This window comes from Homo sapiens, chromosome 19, assembly GCF_000001405.40.
Source record: "Homo sapiens chromosome 19, GRCh38.p14 Primary Assembly".
Taxonomy (NCBI): Eukaryota; Metazoa; Chordata; class Mammalia; order Primates; family Hominidae; genus Homo; species Homo sapiens.
In genome coordinates this window covers 33,289,856-33,307,434 of record NC_000019.10, presented here as the reverse complement: position 1 = coordinate 33,307,434, position 17,579 = coordinate 33,289,856, and the positions used below count along the sequence as shown (strand labels likewise).

Below are 17,579 nucleotides of genomic sequence, written 5' to 3'. Positions count from 1 at the left end.
GTATGCCAAGCTCTTATTTACTGAGCAAGTGTGTCCTGCATGCCAGGAACTGGCCTTGGCACAACATTCTCCCTAATCCTCCCAGCAGCTCCCTACACCACCTGCCTCCTGGGGAGACAGGATAAGTAATCTCATGGGTAGAGCTGGGCGCCTGTGGATAAAAAACACTAGGCCGGACACAGTGGCTTACACCTGTAAATCCCAGCACTTTGGAAAGCCGAGGTGGGAGGATCACTTGAGCTCAGGAGTTCGAGACCAGCCTGGGCTGCGTGGTGAAACCCCATCTATACAAAAAATTAGCCAGGCATGGTGGTGCATGCCTGTAGTCCCAGCTACCCAGGAGGCCGATGTGGGAGGATCACTTGAGCCTGGGAGGCGGAGGTTGCATTGAGCTGAGATCCAACCACTGCTCTCCAGCCTGGGCAACAGAGTGAGACCCTGTCTCGAAAAAAAAAAGAAGAAAGAAAAAGAAACACTGGACTTTGGGTTGATTATGCGTTGAGTTCATATGCTTTACATGTCAAGATCTAAAGCCTAAAATGAATCAGTATAAAACCGTTTATGAATCCATTTGTAACAAAAAGTAACTAGTGTTTTTATTTTGTTTTGTTTGTCTAGTTGGAGGAAGGCCTTTGAGAGTATCTTATTGAATGATTGAGACATTATTAGCTATACCATATTAGATACTTGTACCCCTAGCCAGAGCTCAGCTGAGCCTGAAATCATAGTTCTGGACTTTTATCTTATCTGAATTGGTCCTGTTTGGAGCGACCAATCTTACACACACATTTCAGCTTCAGATAAAGTCAGAAAACTACATCAGAAGGGTTAGTTCCGTTTTTGCTCTTCAGAATTTGATTGATTTCCAAACTTACGTACTAATTCTCTCGTGGGCCTTGCATTAGGAAGGTTAAACCAAAGTAAAATAAAACATTTCTAGGGCTCTGTTTGTCTTCTCAAAATGGTTAGTGCTGTGATTGACTCCAGAATCAGGCTTCATCCTGGAGCATCCAAAACTCAGGACCACCGTTTCCCGGGGACTCACGCTCAACCCCCCACACTGGGCCTGTGTACACCCCCATCCACAGCCTCAGGAAGAAGGACCTTAAAGGTGGTCACAGAAGAATTTACAAGCTGCTCTTAGGACTGGCTTTGTCTCAGTTGCACATGAGCCAGAGCCACTTCTCCCAATCAAAGGTGATTTCTCCTTTGCTCCCACTTCTCCAGCCACAAGCCAACTGTCTATGAGACTGTCAGACATCAGCCCCCTCTCCCTTACCCTGTGGGACTCTCCCATGGAAAGTGCCTCCATCGACCCCAGGGTCTCACCCCAACTCCCCAGCTAATTTCCTGCTTTAGGGCTTGGGCAGGACACTTCTATCTAGGGCCCTAGACACCCCCTGTCCTCTGAGAACCCCGCCAGGCCTAGCCAGAGACCTACCACTTGCCCTCAAAACCATTTCCTCCTCATCCCGAGGTACACTTTTAGGCTTCCAAGGAAAAACCAGAACATGGTAGATGGATCTTCGCAACTGCTCCAAGGTCTTCCCCTCCAAAACCACAAAGCAGGCAGGTGAGTATCCTGGAATGAGTCCCCAGTGGCCTCCTGGGGGCTTGGAGAGGGGCCTCCAATTTCCTGGGCATTATATGTGTCAGGGGGTGGTAATCCCAGCCAGAAGCCTGGCATTCAGCCCCCAAGTCCTGACATCTTGTTCTAATCTACCCTGCCCGCTCATTACTGGGGCAATACAAGTCTCCATCCTTTCCCATCTGGTCAACACCCCCTCTCCGTCTTGGCCAGAGTAGATTCTCAGGAACCCAAATCCGACAACGAAGCTCCCCTGCTAAAATCTGGAGGTCAAAAGCCTGGGAGATAAGGGTTCCCCCTTCACCTGCAGTGGCCTTGGCCATCAGCCCAGCCCTGTCTGCGGATCCAGCCTTATCTAGGCCCCACCCTCCCTCACCCCACTCTCCAGCCGGCCAACCATCTCGTTCTTTGTTACCAGAACACATGCACTGGCAGGCTCTCCACCTTTGCACTTACCATTCCCTCCTCCTAGAAGAGCCTTCCTCCCTTATCCTTCCAGCAAATTCCTGCTCAACTTTCAAGGCCCAGCTCAAAGGTCTGCTCCTGCATGAAGCCCTGTCTCACCGCCGGTTCAGTCCAAGCAGGCTGCCATCATAGACCTACCATAAACATTTATTTCTCATGGTTCTGGAGGCTGGATGCCCAAGGCCAAAGCCAAGCTGCCAGCACCCTCAGGTTCTGGTGAGGGGCCTCTTCCCTGCTTGCAGACGGCCACCTCCTTTCTGTGCATGCCCATGACATTGTTCTTCTGATAAGGCCACCAATCCTATCAAATTAGGACCCTACCCATATGACATCATCTCACTTTAATGACTTCCTAAAAGCCTTATCTCCAAATACAGTCACATGGGGGTTAGGCCTTCAACATAGGAATTTGGGGCAGGGACACAGTTCAGTCCATAACACCTCCGCAGACAAATCTGATCTCTGCCTCCTCCACAGCGCCACCTTGTTCAGGGCAGGACTTCTCTTCATCACAGCACATCCACCCTTGATTCCCATTTGTGCCTCGTGTGCATTTGATGAATGAATGAAGTCCCATCCCCTACTCCTTCTGTCTCCTCCTTCCTCCCAGCAGCCTCTGTGTGACAACTTATCCGTCTCTCCCACTGTCCCAGTTCCCAGAGGCAGGAGCCACCCTCTCATGCATCCCTGGGCTCTCGGCACCCTGCACAGGGCAGGCCCGGGTGGGTGAATTCTGGTTCAATTGTAGGAGGACCTGTGGCCCCTGGGGTTGGCGAACCCCGGGCCGGGAGTCCCACTCCTTGCCATTGTCGCCCCCACACATTCATCAGCCCCCTATTGGACAAAGTCTTATTCCCATTACTGAGGTTTCTTCCAGTCCTACGGGGCAGAGTTCCCGATCTCTGGGCAGGCAACAGCAGCTGTGCAAAAAAGGCCAGACATCGCCTTCCTCCCACAACTCCACAGGCCGGGAACCGTGCATGTACAGTGGCGTTTCTTTGTTCCTAGGTAGGAAAAGCCATTAGTTTTAGCACCGCAGAAAAAAACGCAAATCGCTCTTGGTGCTTTTTGATTTCCGTCCAGGTCTCCCTCCACAGGTGAATGCTATATGAATGGGTCCTGCATTTGGCTCAGCAAGCAGCTCTCCGGCTCACATCGGGATATTTATTTAACGTATCTGGTTTTTACTCCCTCCCGTCCAAAAGCGTCAAGCTAAAAATATCTTGTTTATGAGCTCTGGACCGAAAACGAAGCAGTTGGGCTATTAATCACTGGGACTATGTTGAATAGGAACTTGATTAAAGCGCAGTGTGCGTTGCCCAGATGAAACTGCTTCTTTACTGCGATCGTCGTGGAAGCTCGGGGCTCTCCAGCGGTGTTTTTAGCTGTGCCCCCTCCGGGGCTCCTGGGCGGGTCGTGGCGCCTTGCCAGGCCTAAGGCCACTGTCGGTGAAGGGGGTCTTCCCTCACCTGTAGGCAAGCGCGCCTCTAGCCGGGACGCAGGCGGCGTCAGGCCTCAGCGCCAGTGGCGAGGGGCGGCGCGGGCAAGGACAGGAGACACTTGAGGGCTCCCAAGACTCCATCTGGGCCCAGCTGACGGTCCGTAGCCGCCACCCCGGCCCCGGTAAAGAATGCGAGGGACGCACGTGGCTGGGGGTCTCGGTGGCAAGCTCCTTCCCCCGCCGCGGTGAGAGCATTAGCTGCCGCACTCAAGGGGCCCCAGGGCCTGGCCGCCTCGGTCCCTAGGATCCCGGGGACTACAGCGCCCGGCGAACCACTGGGCAGAGTTCTCCCTGTGCGTGCTCGGACCTGGCAGCCCGGCGGCCTGGACACCCTCGCTCCCGCCGTTGGCGCCCACCTGAATGGGGAGGCGGGGGAGGAAGCGGTGGCTTCGGGCCTCGAGGGCTGCGGCCCCCGCCTCGGAATCCCGGCCCCAGAGTTAAGTTTGTCTCCTCCCTCGGTGCGCCCCTCCCCGTGCTCGCCCCGGCGTCCAGCTCCGCTAGTCTGGGGGGCCCCGCGGTCCCGCAGGAAAAAAAATCGGCGACTCCACGCCGGGTAACAGCGCCGGCCCCGCGCGCCTAGCAAGCCGCGCGCTCCGACCTGGAGAAGTAATTATAAAGAAAGTTTTCCAGCCCGGGCGGATCGACCGGCCAGGTCCTCCAGGCTCCCGGGCCGAGGCCGCCTCCGCTCCCCGCGGGGTCCTAGCGCCCTGCGCGGCGCCGCCCATGGGACCCCGGCGTCCTCCGAGAGGTACCTCTGCGCGGAATCACAGGGGTAGCCTGGAGATCAGAGCTAGGAGACGCAGAGCCACCGCGCTCAGGACCTCTCCGCGCGTCCCAAACGGCCCCCCACCGGCCCCAGCCCCGCTGCTCTGCGCTGCAGCCTCCCCGGGACGCGGGTCCGGGACAGGCCTGGTTCTGGCTTTGAAAGAGAATCCGCGCCCCAGCAGCTCAAGACCAAGACTCGCCCTCCGCCCCCCACCCCTACCCCGTGCAGCCTCGGGATACTCCTGGGCTCCCGGCCGTGGCTGGATACGGGCGCCTAGGGCAGGCAGGAGGAGGGGGCCCCCGCTACCGACCACGTGGGCGCGGGGGCGACGGCCGGGCCGGGGGCGGAGCTTGGAGCGAGCGCCGCGGCTCTGCTGGGCGCGCTGGAGGCGGTGGGCGTTGCGCCGCGGCCTGCCTGGGGAGCGCGGCGCTGTGCCGCGCTGGTTCGCCGCCCCATGCCGGCCGCGCGCTAGGACCCAGCAGGCGCCGCGCCGCCGCAGCCCGGGGACAGAGGCCGCCTCGGACTCTAGGGGGCGACGCGGCCTGCCGGGTATAAAAGCTGGGCCGGCGCGGGCCGGGCCATTCGCGACCCGGAGGTGCGCGGGCGCGGGCGAGCAGGGTCTCCGGGTGGGCGGCGGCGACGCCCCGCGCAGGCTGGAGGCCGCCGAGGCTCGCCATGCCGGGAGAACTCTAACTCCCCCATGGAGTCGGCCGACTTCTACGAGGCGGAGCCGCGGCCCCCGATGAGCAGCCACCTGCAGAGCCCCCCGCACGCGCCCAGCAGCGCCGCCTTCGGCTTTCCCCGGGGCGCGGGCCCCGCGCAGCCTCCCGCCCCACCTGCCGCCCCGGAGCCGCTGGGCGGCATCTGCGAGCACGAGACGTCCATCGACATCAGCGCCTACATCGACCCGGCCGCCTTCAACGACGAGTTCCTGGCCGACCTGTTCCAGCACAGCCGGCAGCAGGAGAAGGCCAAGGCGGCCGTGGGCCCCACGGGCGGCGGCGGCGGCGGCGACTTTGACTACCCGGGCGCGCCCGCGGGCCCCGGCGGCGCCGTCATGCCCGGGGGAGCGCACGGGCCCCCGCCCGGCTACGGCTGCGCGGCCGCCGGCTACCTGGACGGCAGGCTGGAGCCCCTGTACGAGCGCGTCGGGGCGCCGGCGCTGCGGCCGCTGGTGATCAAGCAGGAGCCCCGCGAGGAGGATGAAGCCAAGCAGCTGGCGCTGGCCGGCCTCTTCCCTTACCAGCCGCCGCCGCCGCCGCCGCCCTCGCACCCGCACCCGCACCCGCCGCCCGCGCACCTGGCCGCCCCGCACCTGCAGTTCCAGATCGCGCACTGCGGCCAGACCACCATGCACCTGCAGCCCGGTCACCCCACGCCGCCGCCCACGCCCGTGCCCAGCCCGCACCCCGCGCCCGCGCTCGGTGCCGCCGGCCTGCCGGGCCCTGGCAGCGCGCTCAAGGGGCTGGGCGCCGCGCACCCCGACCTCCGCGCGAGTGGCGGCAGCGGCGCGGGCAAGGCCAAGAAGTCGGTGGACAAGAACAGCAACGAGTACCGGGTGCGGCGCGAGCGCAACAACATCGCGGTGCGCAAGAGCCGCGACAAGGCCAAGCAGCGCAACGTGGAGACGCAGCAGAAGGTGCTGGAGCTGACCAGTGACAATGACCGCCTGCGCAAGCGGGTGGAACAGCTGAGCCGCGAACTGGACACGCTGCGGGGCATCTTCCGCCAGCTGCCAGAGAGCTCCTTGGTCAAGGCCATGGGCAACTGCGCGTGAGGCGCGCGGCTGTGGGACCGCCCTGGGCCAGCCTCCGGCGGGGACCCAGGGAGTGGTTTGGGGTCGCCGGATCTCGAGGCTTGCCCGAGCCGTGCGAGCCAGGACTAGGAGATTCCGGTGCCTCCTGAAAGCCTGGCCTGCTCCGCGTGTCCCCTCCCTTCCTCTGCGCCGGACTTGGTGCGTCTAAGATGAGGGGGCCAGGCGGTGGCTTCTCCCTGCGAGGAGGGGAGAATTCTTGGGGCTGAGCTGGGAGCCCGGCAACTCTAGTATTTAGGATAACCTTGTGCCTTGGAAATGCAAACTCACCGCTCCAATGCCTACTGAGTAGGGGGAGCAAATCGTGCCTTGTCATTTTATTTGGAGGTTTCCTGCCTCCTTCCCGAGGCTACAGCAGACCCCCATGAGAGAAGGAGGGGAGCAGGCCCGTGGCAGGAGGAGGGCTCAGGGAGCTGAGATCCCGACAAGCCCGCCAGCCCCAGCCGCTCCTCCACGCCTGTCCTTAGAAAGGGGTGGAAACATAGGGACTTGGGGCTTGGAACCTAAGGTTGTTCCCCTAGTTCTACATGAAGGTGGAGGGTCTCTAGTTCCACGCCTCTCCCACCTCCCTCCGCACACACCCCACCCCAGCCTGCTATAGGCTGGGCTTCCCCTTGGGGCGGAACTCACTGCGATGGGGGTCACCAGGTGACCAGTGGGAGCCCCCACCCCGAGTCACACCAGAAAGCTAGGTCGTGGGTCAGCTCTGAGGATGTATACCCCTGGTGGGAGAGGGAGACCTAGAGATCTGGCTGTGGGGCGGGCATGGGGGGTGAAGGGCCACTGGGACCCTCAGCCTTGTTTGTACTGTATGCCTTCAGCATTGCCTAGGAACACGAAGCACGATCAGTCCATCCCAGAGGGACCGGAGTTATGACAAGCTTTCCAAATATTTTGCTTTATCAGCCGATATCAACACTTGTATCTGGCCTCTGTGCCCCAGCAGTGCCTTGTGCAATGTGAATGTGCGCGTCTCTGCTAAACCACCATTTTATTTGGTTTTTGTTTTGTTTTGGTTTTGCTCGGATACTTGCCAAAATGAGACTCTCCGTCGGCAGCTGGGGGAAGGGTCTGAGACTCCCTTTCCTTTTGGTTTTGGGATTACTTTTGATCCTGGGGGACCAATGAGGTGAGGGGGGTTCTCCTTTGCCCTCAGCTTTCCCCAGCCCCTCCGGCCTGGGCTGCCCACAAGGCTTGTCCCCCAGAGGCCCTGGCTCCTGGTCGGGAAGGGAGGTGGCCTCCCGCCAACGCATCACTGGGGCTGGGAGCAGGGAAGGACGGCTTGGTTCTCTTCTTTTGGGGAGAACGTAGAGTCTCACTCTAGATGTTTTATGTATTATATCTATAATATAAACATATCAAAGTCAATGTCGGTGTCTTTTTAAAACCAGAAAGAAGCTACTTCCAAGGTTGTCTGTGGGCCAGGTCACATTTGTAAATAATACAGCATTTTCCCTGGCGGCAATCCTGACTTTCATGAGCTCTCCATCCATCCTGAGCCCCTCTTACCCTAAGGGGGTGACTTACTTCCCCCAGGCAAGACAAATAAATAGCAGAGGACAAGGCTCCAAATGGAGTATGTCCAGAGCCTGAAGGCAGTCTCTTGGGGTCAGGGGAGGGGGCTGAAGGGGTTACTGGGCTGAGGCCTTGGCGAGGCTTCTTATCTGCCCCGGGGAGGAGGAGAGGGAGTCCTCTGCCTGAGGGGTAGGCCTGGCTAAGCAGCCCTAGGCTCAAGGAGCCCTTTGTGCAGACTTCCTTGCAAATCACCTACAGCTGCAGCCCTGGCCACTCACACACACCGCAGCTCCAGATTCCAGCAGGACCCTCGGCCAGCAGGAAGAGGCCTCCAGTGGTAGGACCCTCCAACCCTCTCCTCTTTCCCTAGACCATGTGGCTACACCCTACCCCTGCGAGGCCCGAAGGCAGCCTGAAGAGAGAGACCCCTCCATCCAGCCCTCCACACCTGCCCAGCCCCAGCCCTCACAAGAAAGGGGGCTGAGGCAGGCCTGCAACAGGGGTCTGGTCCTGCCCCACACACTGGCTGTTCAAGAACCCACCCAGCATCCACACTCCCCACTGCATTCATCCCAGACCCAGCAGGGGACTGAGTGCTGGTGTGCCCCCAACTCCAATGAGCACCCTGTAAGGTCAGGCACTCCGGCACCCCCTTAGCAGCAGTGACAGCCAAGCAAGGGAGGGCAGCCCTTATCCCTGAACTAACAAGGCCCGGGAGAAAGAGGCCCAGGAGGCTGATGGTGCTTTTCAGATTTTACCCTCACGGAGGGTAAAAGATAAATTGCACTTTTCTTTTTTTTTTAACTCTGTACCGAGAGAATGTTCACTGAGTGGCTTACTGTGTGTACCAATGCGGGCTGGGGCATTTTCGAGAAATTACACATTCCTTTTACACTCTGGAAGCTTAGCTTTACCTGCCTGCGTGGTTAGCTGGCACCCCTTCCGGCCCCCCACTCTGTCCTGTGTCTGGCCGCCTCCTCACCCACGGCCGCCCTTGGCAGAGGAGAGGCCACGAGCCCAGTGAGGAGGCGGCGCCTGCCCCGCCACCCTGGGAACAGAGGAGGCAGAGCCCCGCCGCGTGCCCCGAGGCCTGGGGCAGGTCGCAGCTTGCTAAGCCCCAGCAAACCCTCTGAGTTCAGTGCTAATTCCAGTTTTTCTTGTTTGAGGGGGCTGATCCCTGGCTTCCCCCTTTCCCCCCAGAACAGGTCCTAGGACGGGAGGGGGTGGGGCGACCCTCCTGCCCTCACTCCTTCCCCTCCTCTCTGCTGTGCCAGCCCGCTAGGGGCTTCCTCTTTTAAAGCTGATGGCTCCCGGAAGGGATCCCTCCTACCCCGAGTCCTCCTCCTGGTCCTGAGTTCCAGGGTGGGCTTTGTTAGGGACAAGAAGGATCCAATCACATCCAGCCCCAGGAAAGGGATGAGGAGGGCGAGGCCCCCGGGGGGGGCCAAAGTAGAGGGGAGGAAGGTCTTTTGGGCGGCATGGGGTGAACCTGCCCAGCATGTACCCCGTGTCCAGCTGTAGGGGCTTCCCGGGAACAGAGTCACCCTTGGCCACCCACCGCTTCCTGCAGGGTTCCTCACAGTTCCCCTCCTGACTACAGCCTTCAGGAAGAACCATTCCAAGAGCCCAGCACTGAACACACCTCAAGTATTTATCAGATGCCTACTGTATGCCAGGGCCTGCGCCAAAGATGGGGCACTGGGCTGGGAACAAGCCGACTCTGCTCTGGCTCTTGGGGAGCTCACACCCTTGAGGCCCTAAGCTGTGGTTTAAGGTTGCCAAGTGCAATGAAGGGGATCTCAGAGTGTGAACAGGGTCCACCAGGGAGGGCTTTATGGAGGCAGCAGCTTTGATGAAATACCTGGGGAGGGTGGCCTCCTGCTGGCCCCAGTCCCAAGATGCCTGGATGCTTCTCCTTTGCCCTGATCGATCTCCCCTTGACATGTAGCACCTGACTGCAGGGACCTCGCCCCCCTTGCTGCGCCACTCCTGAGCCCTGTGTCCCGTGACAGCGCTGTTCAGGGTTAGCTGGCCTTCAAGGAAAGGGCAAGGGTAGAAGGGAGGGAGGCATCTCCTCTGCTGCCAGATGCGTCCTGATGGCTTAGTGCTGTCACGGATATTACTGTTATCTCCTGGATCTCCTGGGAATCTGTGAACGTGGGGTTTGGCCCTGACACCTGCGATGAGCCACTGGGCCTGGTGAGGAGTGTCTGCCCCTCCCAGCTCTCCCACCTGCTCCTTCCCAGGCAGGAACCTGCCAGGCCTCCTCCAGGAGCTGCTGGTCTCACAGGAGGGGAAGGGGCCACTCATGGGGAAGGACAAGGGATAGCAGAAACCCCTGACTTTGTTTAGCCAAGAGGGGCCTCCAAGGCACCCACAGGCCTTCTCCAGGCATGGGGCAGAGTCCTTGCCTAGATGGTGTTGATATTCCAGCTGTTTCTTTCCTATACTAGTGAGGACGGGAAGGCTTTTCTGTTCTTTTCTTTTTTTAGAGACAGGGTCTCACTTTGTCACCCAGGATGGTGTACAGTGGTGCAGTCACCACTCCCACAACCTCAAACTCCTGAACTCATACAATCCTCGTGCCTCAGCCTCCTACTCAGCCTTTAAGTAGCTGCTGGGATTAATTTTATTTTTCGTAGAGGTGGGGGTCTCACTGTGTTTCCCAGGCTGGTTCAGAATTGCCGGCCTCAAGTGATCTTCCCTCCTCAGCCTCCCAAAGTGCTGGGATTACAAGCGTGAGCCACCCTGCCAGGCCTCTTTTTCCTTTCTTTAGATAAAACTAACCCACTAGCACCTTTGAAAGCTTTCTTGATTCTGTGAAAGACTCTTGCTATCTCTTCTCTCTGGACAACCCCACCTCTCCCCCTCCCCCACGCCCCTCTCTGCCGATGGAGTGTTTGACGTAAGCTGAGGCCCAGGGAAGATACCGATTCACTATCAAAGCATCCTAGCCCCATCCCAGAGCAATTAAAAAGCCAGATGGAATCTCTGGGAAAACGGCATTAATAACACGAACAATCTGTGTTGGCCGGGGGAACCCAGGAGCCCCAGGCAGGGGTGGGGCTGTGAGGGGAGGGAAGCTGGGGTGCCGAAGTGGAAGCTCGCAGCGACATCTCCACCCTGTTGTGGCGGCCGGGGATGGGGCCGCCGTAAGGGTATGCTAGGTCCAGCTGCAGCTGCACTGTCCCCTCCAGCCCTTGCAAGGCCCACAGTGCACCCTGGATCCTGGTGGCTGCAGACCAAGCCAGACAAATGTGGAACCCATTACTCAGACAGCTGCAGCCCTGGCCAGCCCCGTTCTGGCACCCAAGAGCTTTGCTTCCCTTCGGTTTGTTTTTATTTATATTTTTCTAGCCTTCTGGCCCCACCCACTAGGAACAGGCCTCTCCGGGTTTGGCTGGCATAGACACCCTTTCTCTCCATTTGCTGTGCCCACATCCGCTGCCTGTGCTTGACAATAGCAGAAGACAGTGTTGGGGAACTCCAGTAGGCCTGAAGTCCAGAAACTCCCCTTAGAATGCAAAGGCTGGGTGCAGTGGTTCATACCTGTAATTCCAGCACTTTGAGAGACTGAGGTGGGAGGATTGCTTGAGCCCAGGAGTTCAAGAACAGTCTGGGCAACATAGTGAGACCCTTTGTCTCCAAAAACATTATCCAAGTGTGGTGTCACATGCTTGTAGTCTCAGCTACTCGGGAGGCTGAGGTGGGAGGATCGTTTGAGCCTAGGAGTTGGAGGCTGTAGATCACACCACTGTACTCCAGCCTGGACAACAGAGCAAGACCCTGTCTCAAAAATAAGAAAAAACAGAATGCAAAGTGGTAGACACTTTGAGCAAGACCAGCTGAGCTCTCAAAAGCCAGCATGATTTCTGGGGCAGCGGGGCACAGGGTTCACACTGCCCAGCTACCTCGAGGGGCCCAGAAGAGGCTGGACCAGGGCGACAGGCAAAGAATCCTCTACGAATTCAAAGCCTTTTCTAGGCAGAGCCAAGAAGTGAGACTCTTCTATAGCAGCCCCGTTTTTCAGACTTGTCTGCAGGCTCACCCGACTTAAAGACGTAGTTCTCCTGCAGCCATCAAGCTGGGGTGGGAAACTAGCTTGTTTAAGAAACATCCTTTGTGGTTGTCACATAGCCAGAGAGCCATTTTCTGACACTCATCCTCACTGTCCCCTCATCCTCATCCTCCACCTTTATCCTCCCTGGAAACTCTTCTCCTCAAGGTCACACCAGCCCCTAAAGCCAAATCAAATGACCACTCCTGGGGTCCTTCCTGCCTGTCTTGGCCTCCTACTGAACTTGGCCGCAGCAGATTTTCAGTGTCTGGCTATGCAGATCTTGAACATACGTGTTTGAATGCAAGGATCTCTCTCCTTCTTTACAAGACATCCTCACCCTCTCCTTTCTATCCAAGGGTCCATTGGGTTGGCCCAAGGTCCGCCAAGCAAGCCGCACCATTGTCAGAGGCAACGCAAGAGCACAGTAAATAAGGCTCCCCCGTGGTGGCCCACTGAGTTGCAGCTTCTACAGTTACTTTGTTGTTTGGTTTTGTTTGACAAAGTCTCACTCTGTTGCCCAGGCTGGAGTGCAGTGGCGCAATTTCAGCTCACTGCAACCTCTGCTTCCCAGATTCAAGTGATTCTCCTGCCTCAGCCTCCTAAGTAGCTGAGATTACAAGCATGCACCACCAAGCCTGGCTAAATTTTTTTTTTTATATTTTTAGTAGCGATGGGGTTTCACCATGTTGGCTAGGCTGGCCTCGAACTCCTGACCTCTAGTGATTCGCCTACCTTGGCCTCCAAAAGTGCTGGGATTACAGGTGTGAGCCAACACGCCTGGCTTTTTTTTTTTTTTTTTTGAGATGGGATTTCACTCTTGTCGCCCGGGCTGGAATGCAATGGTGCATTCTCAGCTCACTGCAACCTCCACCTCCCGGGTTCAAGTGATTCTCCTGCCTTGGCCTCCTGAGTAGCTGGGATTACAGGCACACACCACCACACCCAGGTACTTTTTGTATTTTTAGTAGAGACAGGGGTTTCACCATGTTGGCCAGGCTGGTCTCGAACCCCTGACTTCAGGTGATCCACCCTCCTGGGCCTCCCAGAGTGTTGGGATTACAGGCGTGAGCCACCATGACTGGCCTGTTTTGTTCTTTTGAGTCAGGGTCTCTCTCTGTTGCCCAGGCGGGAGTACAACCTCCACCTCCTGGACTCAAGAGGTCAAGTAGCTGGGACTATAGGCACATTCCACTACACCAGGCTAATTTTCAAATATTTTTGTAGAGAAGGGATTTCACTTTGTTGCCCAGGCTGGTCTGGAACTCCTGGGCTCAAGCGACCCTCTCTCTTCGGCTTCCCAAAGCACTGGGATTACAGGCATGAGCCACAGCACCCGGCCCCTGAAGTTACTTTTAACATTCAAGAATCCTAAGAAAGGTAACCCATCCGGTCCTAGATAATCTTCCCTGCCTTCATGTGATTAGTTTATCACCAGAATCAGAGGTCTGGCCAGGCCCCAGAGAGACAGTCATGCTCTGCAGGAGACTGTGCGGGGAGGAGGTAAGATTTCCAAAAGAGAGGACAGGGTAGGGGAGAAGCAGCCCTGTCTGCCCCCAAGCTGCAGGAGCCGCAGGTGAGCACGGGGGAACGAGAACGGCCACATTTCTGCTTTAAAAGCTATTTCAAGGCTTCATGTCTCTCCTCTTATCTCCACTCTAGGACGACTGGCAAGGTTGTTATTGAGGGACTACAGCCTGAGGGTGGGGAGGCTAGGGACCAAATGTGGTGGCCTAGAGCCAGGGCATGTCACACAGGGACCCGGACGGGGCTTGAGGGAGCCCTCACCGCCTGTCCCAAGCCCTCTTGGATCTGAAGATCTTTTCTTCAGCCAAATGGCAGCCCAACCTTTCACCAGAAACACAGCCTCTCTTCCCTGAGCCACCGCCGCCATTTCTTCTCTGCCTCGGCCATGGTGGCCTCGGAGACTCCCTCACCTCCCTCCAGCCAACCAGAGCACCCTCCCCAGCACCCCCCAAGAATGCCATGCCCTCCCGCAGATGCGGAAATGTGGCTGATTTACAGCGGCCTTTCCCGTGCACATGTTGGGCAATGGTCTCAGCCGGCTCAACCCCTGCTCAGAGAAAGGGGGTGGGGATGGGTCAAGGGGGCGTCAGGGCTGGGTGTCTGCTCCAAAGGGAGCCGCCGTGACCTTCAGCATCAGGTTAGGACCCGTCTGAAGTAGCCTCCTGGAGCGATTTACAATTTGCAAACACGTTTTATTTGATTCCTGAGTTTTGCTAGAGCAATTACCGTGACTAAGCATGACAGATCACTCCCAGCACGGTGTCTACTCGCTGTTAGGAAATGTGTGTTTGCTTCACTCTTTTGCCTGGTGCGGCAGTGTTTTAAAAATAGACTCATTCACTGTACTTGAAGGCAATTTGTTCCAAATTTTCCCACTAATTTGATTTTAATCTGATATTTAAAATTCATGTGGCCACATTCCCACTGATTTATAGGGAATAAGCCCTACCTGGCAGCTGTTTAATTGGCCTTAGCCCAGGAGGCCACAGGACAAAGGATTTATCCCGGAACAATCTGAAGGCACTGTGGTCTGTCATGCTGAAATATATGCCTCATTCAGCATCACAAGTGCTACTTGCCTGGAGCCAGGACCACTGGGCATGGAGCTGAAGGCTACAGAACCCTGGCTCACAGTGGGCCTTCAGTCTCGTACCGGACACGTAAGTGAAGCCCGGGCACCCTGACAGAGTGCACACTCGAGGTGTGTGCTGAGTCGGTTTCTGGAGCAAAGCAGTTTGTTCACGGGTGACAAGGAGGCGTTTCCCGTTTCTCCCATCCCGTGATGAGGATGGCCCATGGGAAGAGGGCCGTGCCATCCTGGCATCAAACCAAATCCTGGCCTTGCCTCCTGCTGACTGGGTGGCCCCGCACTGAGTCTGTCAGTTTCTCCGAGCTTCAGTTTCCTTTTATGCAAAATGTATGCAAAACAAGTAGCATGTCATGGAGTTGTGAAAGATAAACAGGGAAAGCTTATGAGACACTTGGCTCCAGCTAATGATTCCCACGTGCTGGGGCAGAAGGCAGAGTGGGAGGCTAGGGCACACCTTGGTCCCTGAAAAACGCAGTGGAAGGAGACAGCCTTCTTAAGAATTTAGGGCAAAATGCTTGTTCCAAATAACCAAACAACTGAAGTCATTTTAATGTTGCTTAGATTTCCACACCCCCTCCCCCCCACAAAGGATGCCTTTCATTTGCTTAGAAAACACTTAATGAGCTCATTCTGGGGGCAGAGCCCCCTTGCCAGTGACTTTGAAGGCTAAGCACAGTGGTCAAAGCCTGTACGACACTCAGATGAGCAGGCACAGGTGCCCCGTGTGCTTGTCGAAGTAAAATGCTCTTCGTGGGCCAGGCGCAGTGGCTCATGCCTGTAATCCCAGCGCTTTGGGAGGCCGAAGTGGGAGGATGGCTTGAAGCCAGGAGTTTGAGATAAGACTGGGCAGCATAGCCAGACCCCCATCTCTACAAGATTTGTTTTAATGTCCTTCATACAAGTGCAGAATCCCAGGTGACGACCCATGGGGAGTTCAAGAGAGAACAAGTATTCTCACTGGGGTGGCAGCCTCCCCAGGTACTGAGAGAGTCCTCGGCCCCAAGGGCCTCCCAGTTAACTTCTGTTTGGAAGGCTGTGACCTCAGCAAGTAAAGGGGTGAGGGTGGGGGTCCTGCCTTCCCCTTGCTGGTGAGAAGGGAGCCAGAGACATGTGCTGTGTGTGTCAGGGGTGGGGGACACATCCTGCTCCCTTGCCCCCTCACTTCTCAACTGTGTCATCTCAGCACTTGGCATCACAGCTGGTTTCCATTTGCCCAACCCAGCTCGGGCCCAGGAGGTCAGCGTGAGCCCTGCAGGAGAGCCACCCAGGCAGGGCTTCCAACAACCAGGGAAGCTTCTGGGGTCCTGGGGTGTCCTGGAGGAGGGGCAAGAAGGCAGGTAGGAGGAGGCCTCAGCCAAGCTTCCCTAGCGCCGGGGCCGCCAACAGGAAAAGGTTCTAGAAACCAACCCTGCTCTTCCCTGCCCTGCCAGGAATGCTACCACGAGGGTAATTCAAGTTAATAAGCAAACTCCTCAGGCAAGGAAGGCAGGCAGCTCTTGGGCCCCTTCGTCTCCCTGTTCAAGCACAGGAAGCTGTTGGATTCCACTTGCCAAGGCAAAGGAGGGCCACAATTATGAAGAGGGGCTGGGAGGCCTTAAATCATTGGCTTCTTCACCCTGCAGATCAGCTGGGCTCGGTGCAGGGCAGCAGAAAGGACAGAGGAGAGGCTGGGGTGTGGGTGACTCCCAGAGCAACCGGGGAGAGGGGCGATGTGGGGGTGCTGGTGCGGGTGCAGCCACGTGCCACCTGCATGTGATCTCAAGGCCGATGCAGGGCTGGAGGGGTCAGACCCAGGGGCTCAGGGTCCCCTCAAGTGCAATTCCCAAGTTCACCAAGGCCTGTGCTCCTTTGTTCAAGGAGCAATCTTGTCTGGGAGAGGTGGAGGCATGAGTCACAGGCCAGGCCCCTGAGCCGAGGGGAGGTGGGGACGATGGCTCCAAGCCTGAAATGTGTCAGAGGTGAGGTGAGCATCTTGAGTGAGGCAGTGATGTTGCTATATGGGGCAGCGCTGCCTGGGGGCGGTGCGTGAGCCACGCTGGAGGGACAGCAGCCTGCTCTGGGTTCCTCTGCCTCCCTGGGAAGCATCAGACTCCTCAGGGTCCCAGCCGCTCACCCAGGAGCCAGGCATCCTAGGAGATGCCCCAGCCAGGTGCCCAGTGCCATAGAGCCTAGGCCCCTCAGGGACCCTTCTCACCGGAAGCAGTGATAAGACCAGGGCTGGAACACAGGCAGGAGCGGCACCTGAGCTCCTAGACTCCCCATCCAGTGGGGTAGTTTAACCCTCTGTACCCCCAAATCCACCCAGGGGAGTGAAATGCTCCTGTTTCCCCAATGCCCTCATGATTGGCTCAATTCCATCACACCTCCCGCCACTGCCTCCACTCAACATTCTTCAACTCAATTTCCTTTAGTTTTCAATTTAAAAAATTAAATCAACTGCATGCTGTTTGGAACATCTTTGAGAATTTCAAAATCGAACGGCATGTCTGAGACATTGCAGAGCCAGATCTGGGAGACCACATGACACCCCAGGCTTTGCTCATTAGGGGCTGAGAGATCAACCACCACTTGGCCACCCCTCTCTGCTTTTGCCCTGGGACTGGTGTCCTGCCCAGCACAGGGGCCTGGAGGGACCTGCTGCTGGGGGTGGGGGAATCTGGCACATGCCTGAGGACAAGGGTGGGACCAGGGCCTCCCTGAGCTCCACCATGAAGCTGCTCACAGTGCCCAGGCCCTGACGCTGGTTACACAAGGGCTGGGCCTGCCTTCCCGCCCACTGGGGGTGTGGGACTGTGTGTGCGCCCTGGCCTCATCACACACCTGCTGTGTGACCCGGCACAGGTTTGGCAGCCTCTCTGTTTGAGCATGTCTGAGAGGCGTGCCGAGATTCCCAGAGGCAAGATGATGAATGGTGTCCCTCCAGAACAGAGCAACTGCAGGAACCTGATTCCAGGACGAGTCACCATGAGGAGGCCAGGGACCAGGCCACCTGGCCACCAAGGTGGGGAGCGTGAGTCACAAACAAGCTACCCACCTGCCAGCCAGATCACTCGCCTGTCCAAGAAAGCACAAGGCTGGGAGGTAGAGGATGGTAGGACCCAGGGTTGGGTAATACCCTGCCTGCCCCTGGAGCCCAGCTCCTAGGTCTTTGACAGCCAGGTCCCAGGTGATGCTGGTGTGCTGGGAAGCGAGGGACAAAGCTCCTTTGGACCAATTCATATCAGTCAGCTAGTGAATGAGTCTCCACCAAGCACCCT

The 17,579-nt window shown here is 57.5% G+C and overlaps 1 protein-coding gene and 1 long non-coding RNA gene across 5 annotated transcripts, besides 4 other annotated features; one reads left to right on the top strand and one right to left on the bottom strand.

The window, feature by feature from the left end:
- CEBPA-DT (CEBPA divergent transcript) lies at window positions 2,378-4,614 on the bottom strand. Its single transcript, NR_026887.2, has one exon. It is a non-coding gene; the product is annotated as a CEBPA divergent transcript (long non-coding RNA).
- Window positions 4,161-4,420: a silencer, noted in NCBI's record as "silent region_10496". NCBI's record gives its function as "represses an Ori minimal core promoter by ATAC-STARR-seq in GM12878 lymphoblastoid cells {active_cell/tissue: GM12878}" and the evidence as "EXISTENCE:reporter gene assay evidence [ECO:0000049][PMID:35858748]".
- Window positions 4,501-5,070: a silencer, noted in NCBI's record as "silent region_10495". NCBI's record gives its function as "represses an Ori minimal core promoter by ATAC-STARR-seq in GM12878 lymphoblastoid cells {active_cell/tissue: GM12878}" and the evidence as "EXISTENCE:reporter gene assay evidence [ECO:0000049][PMID:35858748]".
- Window positions 4,901-7,501, top strand: CEBPA (CCAAT enhancer binding protein alpha). Of its 4 annotated transcripts, none has more exons than NM_001287424.2 (1): window positions 4,901-7,501. In NM_001287424.2, the coding sequence occupies exon 1, from the start codon at window positions 4,916-4,918 to the stop codon at window positions 6,095-6,097; it is 1,182 nt and encodes a 393-aa protein (NP_001274353.1). In that variant the 5' UTR covers window positions 4,901-4,915; the 3' UTR covers window positions 6,098-7,501. All 4 variants share the same exon structure in this region, with proteins under 4 accessions (NP_001274353.1, NP_004355.2, NP_001272758.1 ...).
- Window positions 13,083-14,033: an enhancer, noted in NCBI's record as "H3K4me1 hESC enhancer chr19:33784308-33785258 (GRCh37/hg19 assembly coordinates)". NCBI's record gives its function as "activates a minimal SCP1, AML or CMV promoter by ChIP-STARR-seq in naive H9 embryonic stem cells {active_cell/tissue: H9 hESC(naive)}" and the evidence as "EXISTENCE:reporter gene assay evidence [ECO:0000049][PMID:30033119]".
- Window positions 15,291-15,874: an enhancer, noted in NCBI's record as "H3K27ac-H3K4me1 hESC enhancer chr19:33782467-33783050 (GRCh37/hg19 assembly coordinates)". NCBI's record gives its function as "activates a minimal SCP1, AML or CMV promoter by ChIP-STARR-seq in primed H9 embryonic stem cells {active_cell/tissue: H9 hESC(primed)}" and the evidence as "EXISTENCE:reporter gene assay evidence [ECO:0000049][PMID:30033119]".